The sequence below is a fragment of the Homo sapiens genome, chromosome 8, assembly GCF_000001405.40.
Source record: "Homo sapiens chromosome 8, GRCh38.p14 Primary Assembly".
NCBI lineage: Eukaryota > Metazoa > Chordata > Mammalia > Primates > Hominidae > Homo > Homo sapiens.
In genome coordinates this window covers 47,763,948-47,779,871 of record NC_000008.11, presented here as the reverse complement: position 1 = coordinate 47,779,871, position 15,924 = coordinate 47,763,948, and the positions used below count along the sequence as shown (strand labels likewise).

At 42.6% G+C, this 15,924-nt stretch overlaps 1 protein-coding gene across 2 annotated transcripts in view, besides 2 other annotated features; it reads left to right on the top strand.

The window, feature by feature from the left end:
* The window catches only part of PRKDC (protein kinase, DNA-activated, catalytic subunit), a 187,026-nt gene extending 180,265 nt beyond the window's left edge, over nucleotides 1-6,761 (top strand). For both annotated transcript variants that reach the window (NM_001081640.2, NM_006904.7), the window contains 6 exons: nucleotides 779-868; nucleotides 1,073-1,144; nucleotides 1,212-1,413; nucleotides 1,998-2,186; nucleotides 2,889-3,028; nucleotides 5,495-6,761. In NM_001081640.2, the coding sequence (NP_001075109.1) occupies nucleotides 779-868; nucleotides 1,073-1,144; nucleotides 1,212-1,413; nucleotides 1,998-2,186; nucleotides 2,889-3,028; nucleotides 5,495-5,699 (898 nt within the window). In that variant the 3' untranslated portion in view covers nucleotides 5,700-6,761. The remainder of the gene's footprint in view (nucleotides 1-778; nucleotides 869-1,072; nucleotides 1,145-1,211; nucleotides 1,414-1,997; nucleotides 2,187-2,888; nucleotides 3,029-5,494) is intronic.
* Nucleotides 13,749-14,316: an enhancer, noted in NCBI's record as "OCT4-NANOG hESC enhancer chr8:48678117-48678684 (GRCh37/hg19 assembly coordinates)". NCBI's record gives its function as "activates a minimal SCP1, AML or CMV promoter by ChIP-STARR-seq in naive and primed H9 embryonic stem cells {active_cell/tissue: H9 hESC(naive and primed)}" and the evidence as "EXISTENCE:reporter gene assay evidence [ECO:0000049][PMID:30033119]".
* Nucleotides 15,338-15,477: an enhancer, noted in NCBI's record as "active region_27329". NCBI's record gives its function as "activates an Ori minimal core promoter by ATAC-STARR-seq in GM12878 lymphoblastoid cells {active_cell/tissue: GM12878}" and the evidence as "EXISTENCE:reporter gene assay evidence [ECO:0000049][PMID:35858748]".

The window sequence follows — 15,924 nt, the reverse complement described above, 5'->3', positions numbered from 1 at the left end:
TCACACCTGTAATCCCAGCACTTTGGGAGGCCGAGGCGGGCGGATCACGAGGTCAGGCATTCGAGACCAGCCTGGCCAACGTGGTGAAACCCCGTCTCTACTAAAAATACAGAAATTAGCTGAGCATGGTGGCATTTGCCTGTAATCCCAGCTACTCAGGAAGCTGAAGCAGGAGAATCACTTGAATCCATGAGGCAGAGGTTGCAGTGGGCCAAGATCGCACCACTGCACTCCAGCCTGGCGACAGAGCTAGACTCCCATCTCAAAAAAACAAAAGAAAAAGATGTGGAAGTGGTCTAAATAAAGATAAAAACAGACATAATCCATCTTTAGCAAAACTGTGCGGGCTTTTTGGCTATGGTAGTGACATGGCCTGAGGCTTCCAGCAGCCGCCTGTGGTGCTGTCGCCCTCTTGCTATGGTTCTTTCTAGGTCAAAGTTTCAGAATTGCATGCCTGGTTAATAAACAGTTATGTTTAGTTCATCTTATTCCTCTCTATGTCAGTGGGAAATTTGTTGGATCTGATGGTTTTGTACCTGAATTTTTCATAGGCAATAGCTTGGATTTCTTTAGGAGTAATTAAGAATGAATAATGGTATATTGAAATTCAAGATCCAGAGTAATGTGGGTTCAATGTTAATATTGAATATGGTTAAAAGTCTTATTATTTTTTCCTGCCTCTTTGCTATTTTTCAATGAATTCTTGGTGATCTTTGCCTTTGAAATCACATAATGCTAAAATCTTCCTAATTCCAATTCCCCTTTTCTCACTCATTAGTGATCCCAGGGCACCGCCGTGTGAATATAAAGATTGGCTGACAAAAATGTCAGGAAAACATGATGTTGGAGCTTACATGCTAATGTATAAGTAAGTTTGGTTTTGATTTTTCTTTGTATTAGTTAGTTCATTCTTCTGCAAATTGCATGTTTTCTTTTGATTCTTAGCTTTGCCTCAGAGAGATCATCAAGATTATTCGATATTTGAGTCTCAATATAAACAAAAAGTTTTAAAATTTAAATTTTAAGTCAGAGAAATTTTTTCTAATTAGATGTTTCTATTATTAAATCATAGGGGCGCTAATCGTACTGAAACAGTCACGTCTTTTAGAAAACGAGAAAGTAAAGTGCCTGCTGATCTCTTAAAGTAAGTACCCTTCTGCCCTCACCCTTAGTGGGATCACAGCAGCCGCACAGCTGTGTCTCTTTTGTAGGCGGGCCTTCGTGAGGATGAGTACAAGCCCTGAGGCTTTCCTGGCGCTCCGCTCCCACTTCGCCAGCTCTCACGCTCTGATATGCATCAGCCACTGGATCCTCGGGATTGGAGACAGACATCTGAACAACTTTATGGTGGCCATGGAGACTGGCGGCGTGATCGGGATCGACTTTGGGCATGCGTTTGGATCCGCTACACAGGTGCACTTGCTGTGCTCTCGTGATCCTGGGCAAGGCGAGAGTCATCATAGGACTTTCAACAACCTCCAGAAATAGACAGTTTTTAAGGAAAAACAACATATTAGTTAGATTCGTTTTGTCATGGTCATTGAATGCAGAAAGGGATAATCACTTAGTTCAGCCTCATTCAGTCAGGTCACAGAAGTCATGGTGATCAGTGATATCATCAGAGCCGGTAATTAAATGTGTTCGCAGATCAAAGGAAGACTCTAAGAAAGTTTTAGGAAGCCCCGTAATAAAAATGTCTGGTCAAAAATGTGATACAGATCTTTTCTCTGGTTAACCTCTGAATGTTTTGGATCATCCTTCTCAATCTCTGCGGCCCTGTGTCCTGTGCACGTGGGTTTTGCATTGAGGGATAACTCAAGCCGAGGGGGTTACTCTCGAGCATAGGAACTCACATCTGTGTAGCTGATTTCAAGGGAAGCAGAGTCTGTATTTTTACTAAATGTGAACAGTAACTATGTGAGGATGCTGCCATTTGTGCTCGGTACTTTGAGAGTTCTGGCTTACATATTCTGCTCCTTGCCTTTTTTCTTGTTTAGTTTCTGCCAGTCCCTGAGTTGATGCCTTTTCGGCTAACTCGCCAGTTTATCAATCTGATGTTACCAATGAAAGAAACGGGCCTTATGTACAGCATCATGGTACACGCACTCCGGGCCTTCCGCTCAGACCCTGGCCTGCTCACCAACACCATGGATGTGTTTGTCAAGGAGCCCTCCTTTGATTGGAAAGTAGGTTTTGTTTCATGTGCACTTTTCACTTTTGTGACAGTGTCCCCGTGATCAAGCTGGTATCTCTCGTGTATGATGGAAGTGCATTGAGTCATGTTGATGAAAATATTTACATTATTTTGTACAGCATTTCTCAAAGTTAGTATTTAGGATTGTCTGCTTGAAAACCAGTTAAGAGGCTGGGCCCAGTGGCTCACACCTATAATCCCAAAACTTTGGGAGGCAGAGACGGGAGGATCACCTGAGGTCAGGAGTTGGAGACCAGCCTGGCCAACATGGTAAAACCCTGTCTCTACTAAAAATACAGAAATTAGCTGGGCGTGGTAACGCACACCTGTAATCCCAGCTCCTTGGGAGGCTGAGGCAGGAGAATGGCTTGAAACCAGGAGGCAGAGGTTGCAGTGAGCCGAGATCACGCCACTGCACTCCAGCCTGGGTGACAAGAGTGAAACTCCGCCTCAAAAAAAAAAAAATTAACAGGCAAAACCTTTATTTGGAGAAATAAGGGGACTGCTGAGGCCCCTCGTCTCGTGATGTGTGTGCCATGGAGTCTGTATGAACAGCTTTGTAGCTGTAGAAAGCAAGGCTGCTCCTGGTTATAGATGTTTGTTTACTTTAAGATCATTACTAGATTTAATCTGTTTGGGCATGATTGTATATACCATTATGATCAGCCGGGAAAATCATGTTCTTTTCTTCTAGAATTTTGAACAGAAAATGCTGAAAAAAGGAGGGTCATGGATTCAAGAAATAAATGTTGCTGAAAAAAATTGGTACCCCCGACAGAAAATATGTTACGCTAAGAGAAAGTTAGCAGGTGCCAATCCAGCAGTCATTACTTGGTAAGATTTTTATATGTGGAAAAAACTAACGGACTACCGACATGCTACTGTTTCTCGAGGAGCCAACATATATACAAAGTGCTGAGCTCTTGACACTCTGTTAGCATGACTTCTCTGCTTTCATTGAGGAGGAAAGCAGGGCTTAGAGAGGCTGACTTCCCCAAAGCCAGGGCAAGGCCTGCAACTCTGACGTATGTGACCCCTGCACTGTCTTCAGGTTTAAACTCAGTCCCTGGAACAGTGGCGCCAATTGGAGAAACAGAAGGTGCACTCTTAGACAGTTGCCAGAATATTGTTACATGCATGAGGAGACTTAGGTTTTAAATTTGCTTTTGTCCTTTTTAGGGCGTTTGACCCTGATGAATATAGTACCTAGGTATGAAAAGCACTGTGTGGGCTTGTTAGATGAGAATTCAATTTGGGTTGGCTTTTAGGTTAGCCTTAAAGTTTTCTCTTGTTGAGGTCTAAAGCAAATAGAAATTTATGGAGATGATTCATAGGAATGAAAAAAGTTGGACTTTAGAATTAAGTAATAGTGGCAATCTATTGTCAACTTATTTTTGACAAGGGTGCCAAGACCATTCAGTGACCTTTCCAACAAATAGCGCTGGCAAAAGAATGAAGTTAGGTCCTTGTTTCACACCATGTGGAAAAATTAATTCAGAATGGATCAGAGAGCTAAGTGTAAGAGTCAAAACTATAAAACACTTAGAAATAGGAGTAAATCAGCTGGGCGTGGTGGCTCACGCCTCAACACTTTGGGAGGCCAAGGCTAGTGGATCACTTGAGGTCAGGAGTTCGAGACCACCCTGGCCATCAAGGTGAAACCCCATCTCTACTAAAAATACAAAAATTAGCTGGGCATGGTGGTGCGCACCTGTAATCCCAGCTGCTAGGGAGGCTGAGGGAGGAGAATGACTTGAACCTGGGGAGGCGGAGGTTGCAGTGAGCCAAGATGGCACCACTGTACTCCAGCCTAGGCGACAAAGTGAGACTCTGCCTCAGAAAAAAAAAAAAAAAAGGAATAGGAGTAAATCATCCTGACCTTGGATTTTGTTGTGATACTTGCCATTTTTTAGGTATGACACTGAAAGCACAAGCAAGAAACAAATATATACATTGGACTTCATCAAAATTAAACAATTTTGTGCTTCACAGAGTGCTATCAAGAAGGTGTTTCAGCCTTCCAAATGGGATAAAATATTTGCAAGTCATGTATCTGATATGGGACTTGTATCTAGAATACATTAAAAAAACTCTTATTGCCTAATAATAGGTAGATAGATAACCCAATTAAAAATGGTCAGGGCTGGGCGCAGTGGCTCACACCTGTAATCCCAGCTACTAGGGAGGCTGAGGCAGGAGAATCACTTGAACCCAGGAGGCAGAGGTTGCAGTGAGCCGAGATCACGCCATTGCACTCCGGCCTGGGTGACAGAGCAAGACCCTGTCTCAAAAAAAAAAAAAAAAAAAAAAAAATGGTCAAAAGACTTGAACTGACATTTCTTTAATGAAAATATACAAATGGCCAATAAGCGGCATGCAAAAATGCTCAACGTCACTAGTCATCAGGGAAATCCAAGTGAGATACTACCTCACACCTGCTAGGATGGCTATTAATTAATTAATTTATTTATTTATTTATTTATTTATTTTTGAGACAAAGTCTTGCTCTGTCACCCAGGCTGGAGTGCAATGGCACGATATGGACTCACTGCAACCCCCACCTCCTGGGTTCAAGCGATCCTCCTGTCCGAGCCTCCTGAGTAGCTGGAATTATAGGTTCATGCTACCACGCCTGGTAATTTTTGTATTTTTAGTAGAAATGGGGTTTCGCCATGTTGGCCAGGCTGGTCTTGAACTCCTGACCTCAGGCGAGCCACCACGCCTTGCCAGATGACTATAATTTTAAAATGGGGCTAATGCAGTGGCTCACACCTGTAATCCCAGCACTTTGGGAGGCCAAGGCAGGAGGATAACTAGAGCCCGGGAGTTCAAGTCTAGCCTGGGCAACATAGCAAGACCCTGTCTCTACCAAAAATTTTTAAAACTTTCTCTTTTTTTAATTAAAAAAAAAGGAATCTAACAAGTGTTGAGGATGTAGAGAAGGTGGACTCCTCATACTCTGCTGGTGGGAGTGGGAAAAGGTGCAGCTGCTGTGGGAAAGTGGCAGTTCTTCACAAAGTTAAACATAGAGTTACCATTGGACCCATCAATGCCACTCCTAGGTGAATCCTAGGAATTCACTCAGGAGAAGTGAAGGCATACATTCACACAAAAACTTGAGCAGCATAATTCATGTTCTGTTTTCCTACAAATCCAGTCTTTGACTTCAAGGTTATAAGCCACAGAAAATACTCTGTGAGTGATGACGTGGGGAATGTGTTTGGATAGGATCACTAGGGATGCAGGCAACAAAGGACAATGACACATGCTTTGTGTTTTCTGTGTTTGTTTTTTTTCCAGTGATGAGCTACTCCTGGGTCATGAGAAGGCCCCTGCCTTCAGAGACTATGTGGCTGTGGCACGAGGAAGCAAAGATCACAACATTCGTGCCCAAGAACCAGAGAGTGGGCTTTCAGAAGAGACTCAAGTGAAGTGCCTGATGGACCAGGCAACAGACCCCAACATCCTTGGCAGAACCTGGGAAGGATGGGAGCCCTGGATGTGAGGTCTGTGGGAGTCTGCAGATAGAAAGCATTACATTGTTTAAAGAATCTACTATACTTTGGTTGGCAGCATTCCATGAGCTGATTTTCCTGAAACACTAAAGAGAAATGTCTTTTGTGCTACAGTTTCGTAGCATGAGTTTAAATCAAGATTATGATGAGTAAATGTGTATGGGTTAAATCAAAGATAAGGTTATAGTAACATCAAAGATTAGGTGAGGTTTATAGAAAGATAGATATCCAGGCTTACCAAAGTATTAAGTCAAGAATATAATATGTGATCAGCTTTCAAAGCATTTACAAGTGCTGCAAGTTAGTGAAACAGCTGTCTCCGTAAATGGAGGAAATGTGGGGAAGCCTTGGAATGCCCTTCTGGTTCTGGCACATTGGAAAGCACACTCAGAAGGCTTCATCACCAAGATTTTGGGAGAGTAAAGCTAAGTATAGTTGATGTAACATTGTAGAAGCAGCATAGGAACAATAAGAACAATAGGTAAAGCTATAATTATGGCTTATATTTAGAAATGACTGCATTTGATATTTTAGGATATTTTTCTAGGTTTTTTCCTTTCATTTTATTCTCTTCTAGTTTTGACATTTTATGATAGATTTGCTCTCTAGAAGGAAACGTCTTTATTTAGGAGGGCAAAAATTTTGGTCATAGCATTCACTTTTGCTATTCCAATCTACAACTGGAAGATACATAAAAGTGCTTTGCATTGAATTTGGGATAACTTCAAAAATCCCATGGTTGTTGTTAGGGATAGTACTAAGCATTTCAGTTCCAGGAGAATAAAAGAAATTCCTATTTGAAATGAATTCCTCATTTGGAGGAAAAAAAGCATGCATTCTAGCACAACAAGATGAAATTATGGAATACAAAAGTGGCTCCTTCCCATGTGCAGTCCCTGTCCCCCCCCGCCAGTCCTCCACACCCAAACTGTTTCTGATTGGCTTTTAGCTTTTTGTTGTTTTTTTTTTTCCTTCTAACACTTGTATTTGGAGGCTCTTCTGTGATTTTGAGAAGTATACTCTTGAGTGTTTAATAAAGTTTTTTTCCAAAAGTAGTGTGTATCTCTTTTATGCAGTTTCAAGAGCAAAATATTCATCTTACAAAATAGTTTATTATATTACTTGCCTAGTTTGTTCTGATAAATGCGGGTTAAATGCATTATGGCATTTAAAATAAACATTTATGGCCAGGCACAATGGCGTACACTTGTGATCCAAGCATGTTGGGAGGCCAAGGCTTGAACTCCTTGAGCCCAGGAGTTAAAGACCAACGTGGGCAACATAATGAGATCCCATGTCTATTTTTAAAAATAACAAATTTATCTTCTCAACAAATGACACCTATTGAACCAAATTTCATCTGTAAAGAAAAATAAGTAATCGTGTGTGTGAAAAATCTGGTGCACATGATCTAGTAAATATTTTTGCACAAAAATGACCAAAGTAAGCCCACTTTGGAGTAAGTTGATAATATATTGTTTTCTGTAACAACTAATTAGCTATAATTCTTGCTTGAGTCCTGATAATTCGGGCTACATTCATTAAATGGATCACCTACATTGTGGGAAACCCTGTTTTTTTAATGACTACTTTTCATATCAATAGAAGTTGATTGTTACAGCCAGGTGTGGCAGCTCACGCCTGTAATTCCAGCACTTTAGGAGGCCGAGGCGGGTGGATCACCTGAGGTCGGGAGTTCGAGACCAGCCTGACCAACATGGAGAAACCCCGTCTGCACTAAAAGTACAAAATTAGCCAGGCGTGGTGGTGCATGCCTGTAATCCCAGCTACTCGGGAGGCTGAAGCAGGAGAATCGCTTGAACCCAGGAGGCGGAGGTTGCGGTGAGCCAAGATCATGCCATTGCACTCCAGCCTGGGCAACAAGAGCAAAACTCAGTCTCAAAAAAAAAAAAAAAAAAAAAAAGATTGTTACAGGTTGTGTGTGTGGTTCCAGTCTCAAAGCTGTGTGCTCAAAAAGTTCATCATTGCTCACGAGAATGCAGTAAGAAGAAACATGCTGTGTACAGCATTCAGAAAACATTCATAAAGTTACACTAGATGTTAAATGGTCATTACACAACGAAGGAACTGCACATCTGAATCATCACTGGGGCTCAAACTTTAACTTGTGATTCTTGCTGAATAAGAATATTTGATTTGGAAACCAAACAAAAAACACTTAACACTGATTACAATTACAAGGAAATATGAATGATATGAATGGTAATATTTACATTATAAACAGATTTTGATATTCAGGTTGTATATGAAACATTTGTTCTTCAACCCCAAAATAACCCAGGAAGTTTCCGATTTAAGCTTAATGAAGACTTGAATGATCCCATGCTTATGAATATTTATTTTAGTAGTTTGTCAGACTAAAAACCCAAGTATATAATAAACTCCTTTAGGACAAGTACTGTGTCCTAATCACTATCTTGTCAACACCTAATAGTCTGGCACATGATAGTCAACAGAACAAAGCCATAGGAATAATTTAGTAAAGAATTCAACTTTTAAAAACTATAAGAAATATAAATTATTGGCTGGGCGTGGTGGCTCATGCCTATAATCCCAGCACTTTGGGAGGCTGAGGCGGTGGATCACGAGGTCAGGAAATCAAGACCATCCTGGCTAACACGGTGAAACCCCGTCTCTACTAAAAATAGAAAAAATTAGCCAGGCGTGGTGGCAGGCGCCTATAGTCCTAGCTACTCAGGAGGCGGGAGAATGGCATGAACCGGGGAGGCGGAGCTTGCAGTGAGCTGAGATGGCGCCACTGCACTCCAGCCTGGGCGACAAAGCGAGACTCTGTCTCAAAAAAATAAGTACATAAAAATTATTTCACTGACGAGAATTTTTAAAGCACCGTTTATTAACTAATGACCAGTAACTTTTTTTTTTTGAGATTCACTGTTGCCCAGGCTGGAGTGCATTGGCGCTTTCTCAGCTCACTGCAACCTCCACCTCCCGGGTTCAAGTGATTCTCCTGCCTCAGCCTCCCGAGTAGCCAGGACTAGTGGCGCGCACCACCACGCCCGGCTAATTTTTGTACTTTAAATTTTGTATTTTGTGTTTTTAGTAGAGATAGGGTTTCACCATGTTGGCCAGGCTGGTCTCAAACTCCTGACAGGTGATCTGCCTGCCTCAGCCTCCCAAAGTGTTGGGATTACAGGCGTGAGCCACTGCACCTGTCCTGCCAAAAACTCTTTGAGCTTCAGAATGTTGTCTGTATTAAAATGAAAATACAGCTCTGGAGTTGCATGAAGTTGCTTTTGAATATTTTATGAAAGTAAAGAATTTAGGGATCATGCCACTGCACTCCAGCCTGGGCGACACACTTATTTTTGAGACAGTGTCTCAAAAAAAGAAATTAAGGATCAGCTTTTCAAAAAGTGAAAAGGCCATTGGGCTTTGATAGGAATTGCATTGAATCTGCAGATTGCTTTGGGTAATTGCCATCTTAACAATACTGTATTTCAATCCACGAGCACAGAATGCATTTCCACTTATTTATATCTTGTTTAGTTTCTTTCAACAATGGTTTGCAATTTTCAGTAGTTTTAAATATTTCTAATGTTTTGTTTCCTTGGTTAAATGTATTCCTAGCTATTTTGTTCTTTTGGATATTGTTGTAAATGGAATTGTTTTTCCTAACTTTGTTTCCAGATTATTCATTGCTAGTGTATACAAATGCTTATTTTGTGTGTTGGTCTTTTCTCCTGCAACTTTGCTGAATTAACTTAATAGCTTTAGTATTTATTTTTTGTATTTCGGATTTTCTGTATATAGGATGATGTCTTCTGTGCGTAGAGACAGTTTTATTTCTTTTCCAATTTGACTACCTTTTCTTTTTTCTTACCTAATTGTTCTGGCTAGAACATTCAGCACAATGCTGAGCAGCAGTGGTAAAAGTGGGCATCCTTCTCTTGTTCCTAGTCTTAGGGAGAAAGTTTTCATCTCTTACCATTGAGTGTGATGTTAGCTGTGGGTTTTCTTTTCTTTTTTTTCTTTTTTTTTTTTTTTTGAGACGGAGTCTTGCTCTGTCACCCAGGCTGGAGTGCAGTGGTCTGCAACCTCCGCCTCCCGGGTTCAAGCGATTCTCCTGCCTCAGCCTCCTGAGTAGCTGGGATACAGGCGTGCACCACCACACGGGCTAACTTTTTGTATTTTTAGTAGAGATGGGGTTTCATGGTGTTGGCCAGGATGGTCCTGATCTCCTAATCTCGTGATCCACCCGCTTCGGCCTCCCAAAGTGCTGGGATTACAGGTGTGAGCCACTGTGCCCGGCCAGCTGTGGGTTTTCATAAATGCCCTTTATCATGTTGAAGAAGTTCCTTCTAAGTTTGGTAAGTGTTTTTATTATGAAATGGTGAATTTTCCCAAGTGGTTTTTTTTTTTTTTTTGGCATCAAAATGAACCTGTGGTTTTTCTCCTTTAGTCTATAAATGTCATGTATTATATCGATTTATATTTGTATATTGAACCACACTTTCTTTGCTGGGATGAATTCTACCTGGCCATGGTGAATAATCCTTTATAATTGTTGGTTTTAGTTTGCTAATATTTCATCGAGGATTTTTGCATCAAGAGGAGATATTAATCTCTAGTTTTCTTGTGGTGCCTTTGTCTGACCTTGTTATCAGGGTAGTGTTGGCTTCATAAAATGGGTTAGAAAGTTTTCCTTCCTCTGATATTTACTGGAAGAGTTTGAGAAAGATTTGGTATTAATTATTTAAAGGTTTTGTGGAATTCAACAGTGAAGGCATGTGGTGCTAGTTTTGTCTTCGTTGGAGGTTTTTCATCGCTGATTCAATCACTGCTTGTTATAGATCTGTTCACATTTTCTATTTTTTCTTGAGTCAGTTTTGGTAATTTGTGTGTTTCTAGGAATTTGTCCATTTCATCCAGTTTATCTAATGCACTGGCATTTATTTCGGTAAGGTTAGTGGTAGTGTCCCTGTGTTCATTTCTGATAGTTATTTGTTTTTTCTTTTTCTTAATATAGCTTAATCATTTTTAGCTTTATAGGTAAAGGTGAGTCAATTTTGTTAGCCTCTTCAAAGAACCAACTTTGTTTTGTTGATTTTGTTTTTCCCTTTTTTTTTTCTTTTTTCTTTCTTTCTTTTTTTTTTTTTTTTTTTGAGACAGGGTCTCTCTCTGTTGCCAAGGCTAGAGTGCAGTGGCGTGATCTCGGCTCACTGCAACCTCCACCTCCCAGTTTTAAGCGATTCTCCTGCTTTAGCCTCCCAAGTAGCTGGGATTTCACAGGTACCCACCATCACACCCGGCTAGTTTTTGTATTTTATTTTTATTTTTATTTTTTCGAGACGGAGTCTTGCTGTTGTCCCCTGGGCTGGAGTGCAATGGCGCAATCTTGGCTTACTGCCACCTTTGCCTCCTGGCTTCCAGCAATTCTCCTACCTCAGCCTCCTGAGTAGCTGAGATTACAAGCACCTGCCACTACATCCAGCTAATTTTTGTATTTTTAGTGGAGACCGGGTTTCACCGTGTTGGCCAGGCTGGCCGCGAACTGCTGACCTCAGGTGATCCACCTGCCTCGGCCTCCCAAAGTGCTGGGATTACAGGTATGAGCCACCGCGCCTGGCCATTTTTGTATTATTAGCAGAGACAGGGTTTCACCATGGTGGCCAGGCTGGTCTTGAATTCCTGATCCCAAGTGATTGAGATTTGATTTGTGTCCCTTAGGTTTAGATGGTTGATAGTGTTGTTCAAGTCTGCTATTTCCTTATTGTTATGTTTAGATGTTCCATTATTGACAATGGGGTATTGAGGTCTCCAACTATTATTTTATTTTAATTTTTTTGAGGTGGAGTCTCATTCCATCTCCCAGACTGGAGTGCAGTGGCATGGTCTCAGCTCACTGCAACCTCCGCCTCCCGGGTTCAAGCAATTCCCCTGCCTCAGCCTCCCGAGTAGCTGGGACTACAGGCACCTGCCACCATGCCCAGCTGAGTTTTGTATTTGTATTTGTATTTTTTTTAGTAGAGACGGGGTTTTGCCATGTTGGCCAGGCCAATCCCGAAATCCTGACCTCAAGCGATCCACCCACCTCGACCTCCCAAAGTGCCTGGATTACAGGCGTGAGCCACCATGCCCAACCTTCAACTATTATTTTCGATCTGTCTCTTCTCCCTTCAGTTCAATGTTTGCTTCATATGTTTTGGAGATTTGCTGTTTGGCGTTTGTGTCTTTATAATTCTTACAATGTTTTTGATGGACTGACCTTTTATCAATATCTAACGTCCCTTTTTTTTATCTCTTGTAACAAGTTTTGACTTAAAGTCTTATAAAGTCTTATTTTCTGTTATTAGTAGTCACGCCAGCTTTCTTTTTTTTTTTTTTTTTTTTTTTTGAGACAGAGTTTTGCTCTTGTTGCCCAGACTGGAGTGCAATGGCACAATCTCAGCCATGCCAGCTTTCTGTTGGTTACTAATGCATGGAAAATATTTTTCCATCCTTTCACTGTAAATCTCGTTGTGCCTTTGGATTTAAGTCACCTGTAGATAGCATGTAGTTAGGTCATGTTTTTAAAATCCATTCTGCCAATCTCTCTTTCAGTTGGTGGATTAAATACATTTACATTCAAAATGATTTTTGATTAGGAACAACTTCTGTCACTTTGCTGTTTGTTTTCTATAAATTTCAATCTTTTTCCCCTAAATTCCTCCAATAGTGTTTTGTATTTGATTGATTTTGCTAGTATTCCATTTGAATTCCCTCGTTTTCTTTTCTGTATGTTTTAAAGTTTTATCTTAGTGGTTATCCTGGTGATTATAATTAATAGCTTAAATTTCTAAGAATATAGTTTGAATTGATACAACTTAGCTATTGAGTTGTTTGAGCTCCTTATATATTCAGGTTATGAATCCATTATCAAATGGGTAGTTTGCAAATATTTTTTCCCATTCTGCGGGTTGTTTTTTACTATGTTGATTATTTTGCTGTGCAGCTTTTTGGCTTGATGTAATCCCAACTGTCCATTTCGGTTGCCTGCGCTTTTGAGGCCTTATGCAAAACATTTTTGCCCAGACCAATGTCCTGGAGAGTTTCCAAACCAACATTTTCTTGTAGTAGTTTCACAGTTTCAGGTCTTAGATTCAAGTCTTTAATCCATTTCTGTGATTTTTGTGTAAAGTGAGAGTTAGGGGTGTCCACATTCTGCATGTGGATATCCAGTTTTCCCAGCACCATTTATTGAAAACTGTCGTTTCCCCCATTGTAAGTTCTGGGTGCCTTTGTAGAAGATGAGTTGGTTATAAATGCGTGGATTTATATCTGGATTTTCTATTCTGTCTCATTGATCTATGTGTCTGTTTTTATGCCAGTTCCATGCTATTTTGGTTACTATAGCTTTGTAATAAATTTTGAAGAAAGGTTGTGTGATGCCAGCTTTGTTCTTTTTGCTCAGGATTACTTTGGCTATTCGGCATCTTTTTTAGTTCCATACAAATTTTAGGATTTTTTTTTTTCTATTTCTGTGAAGAATGTCATTGGTATTTTGATAGGGATCGCATTGAATGTGTAAATTGCTTTGGGGCAGAATTGTCATTTTAACAATATTCATTCTTCAAGACCATAAGCATGGAATATCTTTCACTTTTTTTGTGTCCTCTTCTGTTGTTTGTTTTTGAGACAGGGTCTCAGTCTGTTGCCCAGGCTGGAGTGCAGTGGTGCTATCATGGCTCACTGCAGCCTTGACCTTCTGGGCTCAGGTGATTCTCCCACTTCAGCCTCCTGAGTAGCTGAGACTACAGGCTCACGCCACGATGCCTGGCTAATGTTTTGTATTTTTAGTAGAGATGGGGTTTCACCATGTTGCCCAGGCTGGTCTCGAACTCCTGGACTCAAACAGTCTGCCCACCTTGGCCTCCCAAAGTGCTGAGATTACAGGTTTGAGCCACCGCGCCCAGCCCACACATTAACTTTATAACAATAAACAAAAGTCCTCTGTATTGGGGGAACCCACCCCCAATATTTCAACGTATGTTTTCTATTTTCCCTAAGTGTCGGCTGGTCTGAGAAATAAAGAGTACAAAAGAGAAATTTTACAGCTCGGCCTCCCGGGGTGACATCACATGTCGGCAGGTTCCGTGATGCCCACCTGAGCTGCAAAACCAGCAAGTTTTTATTAGGGATTTCAAAAGGGGAGGGGGGTATGAATAGGGAGTGGGTTACAGAGATCACATGCTTCAAATGGCAATAAAAGATCACAAGGGCAGAAGGGCAGAGCAAGGTCACAAGGCCAGGGTGAAATTAGAATTACCAGTGAGGTTCCATGTCCTGCTGTGCATGCATTGTCATTGGTAAACATCTTAACAGGAAACAGGGTTCAAGAGCAGAGAACCGGTCTGACTAGAATTCTCCAGGCTGGAATTTCCTAATCCTAGCAAGCCTGAGGGCAGTGCAGGAGACCAGGGCATATTTCATCCCCTATCTTCAACTGCATAAGGCAGACACCCCCAGAGTGGCCGTCCATAGGCCTCCCCTAGGAATGCATTCCGTTCCCAGGGTTATTCCTCACTGGGGAAAGAATTCAGCGATATTTTTCCTACTCGTTTTTTGCAATAAGAAAAATATGACTGTTCTGTCCAGCCCCACAGGCAGTCAGACCTTATGGTTATCTCCCTTGCCCTGAACATTGCTGTTATCCTGTTCTTTTTCAGGGTGCCCAGACTTCATATTGTTCAAACACACGTTTTACAATTTGTGGAGTTAACACAGTCATTACAGGGTCCTGAGGCAACATACATCCTCAGTTTACAAAGATGACGGGATTAAGAGATTAAAGTAAAGACAGGCATAGGAAGTTGTAAGAGTATTGATCGGGGAAGTGATAAATGTCCATGAAATCACAATTTATGTTCTGCCGTGGCTTCAGCCGGTCCCTCTGTTCAGGGTCCCTGACTTCCTGCAACACTCTGAACTCTACTGATACACAAAGTAGTTAATGATAAATGCATTTATGCTCACCTGAGACAAAGGAGGAAAAAAAAATTGGTCAAATTGATAGAAAATGAAACCTTACGTACAAAGTCCCTGGAGACCACAGAAACCGAAAGGATCAAGTGGCCTGGGCTCTCCAGTGGAGTGGTGAGGGAACCCAAAGGCAGTAGTGGGAAGTGGGGCGACTGGAATGAGCTTCTGAAGGAACGGCCATCAGTTATGACAGATCTGGTCAATTCATTGTATCTCGTGAACACTGCCGAGAGCAGCTCCTTGGTGCCTAGGCCGCGCTAAGGGGAGTGCACCCAAGGGGAACAGACCCGAGGGAGGGTGCGGGTAGGTGGGAAGCGGAGCTATGAGAGGAGACCCGTGGGAGCCGCCATCCCGTGTGCCCCCTCCTCTGCGGGCAGAAAGTCCGCGTGGGCGGCCCTGTCGCCGGGGCCTCCCTCCTTGCCTGCACCCCTGCTTATCAGAGGGGCCCCCGGGGGCAGGGGCGAGCCCTTTCCTCCTGGCTGCGACCCAGCCCCTGCGGCTGACCTGGGACGCCAGAGCCTCAGGGTGCAGCACTGGGTTGTGAGCCCCAGACCCACACCCCTCTTGTTTTGGGAAAACTGAATAAAACCCCAGCGCCAGGGACCTGATGGGGACGGAGTTTCCCCAGAGACGGCCAGACGGACTTGGCGCCGCTCGGTCTTCAGAAGCTGCTGCGTCTCCCGGGCCTGCAGGTGTCCGCCACGCCCTTGATGGTGTGGAAGGCGCCTCTGTGCGCGGGGTCCCCGGGCCTTCTCACAGCACCGCCTCCCACCGCGGATCCAGCCGCTCTCCACGCTTGGGGAAGGGAGGCATCGGGTCCAGCCCGCTTGGGATCCAGCTCCCGGCCTGGAGGGCGAGACACAACGTTTTCAACGCTGCAGAGCGTCAGGGGCTAGGCCCAGAGCAGGCAGCGGTAAGGGAGAGGGGCACACACAACCACACCACACACACCCCATCACACACCACACAAACGATACACAACCACACCACACACCCCATCGCACACCACACAACCACACCAAACACATCCCATCACACACACAACACACACAACTACACACACACCATCATACACCACACACACCCACAATACACCCCATCACACACCACACGCACAACCACACACACATCACACACGCCATCAACCACACCACACAGAACCACACCACACACCCCATCACACACACACCACACACACATCACACACATCCCATC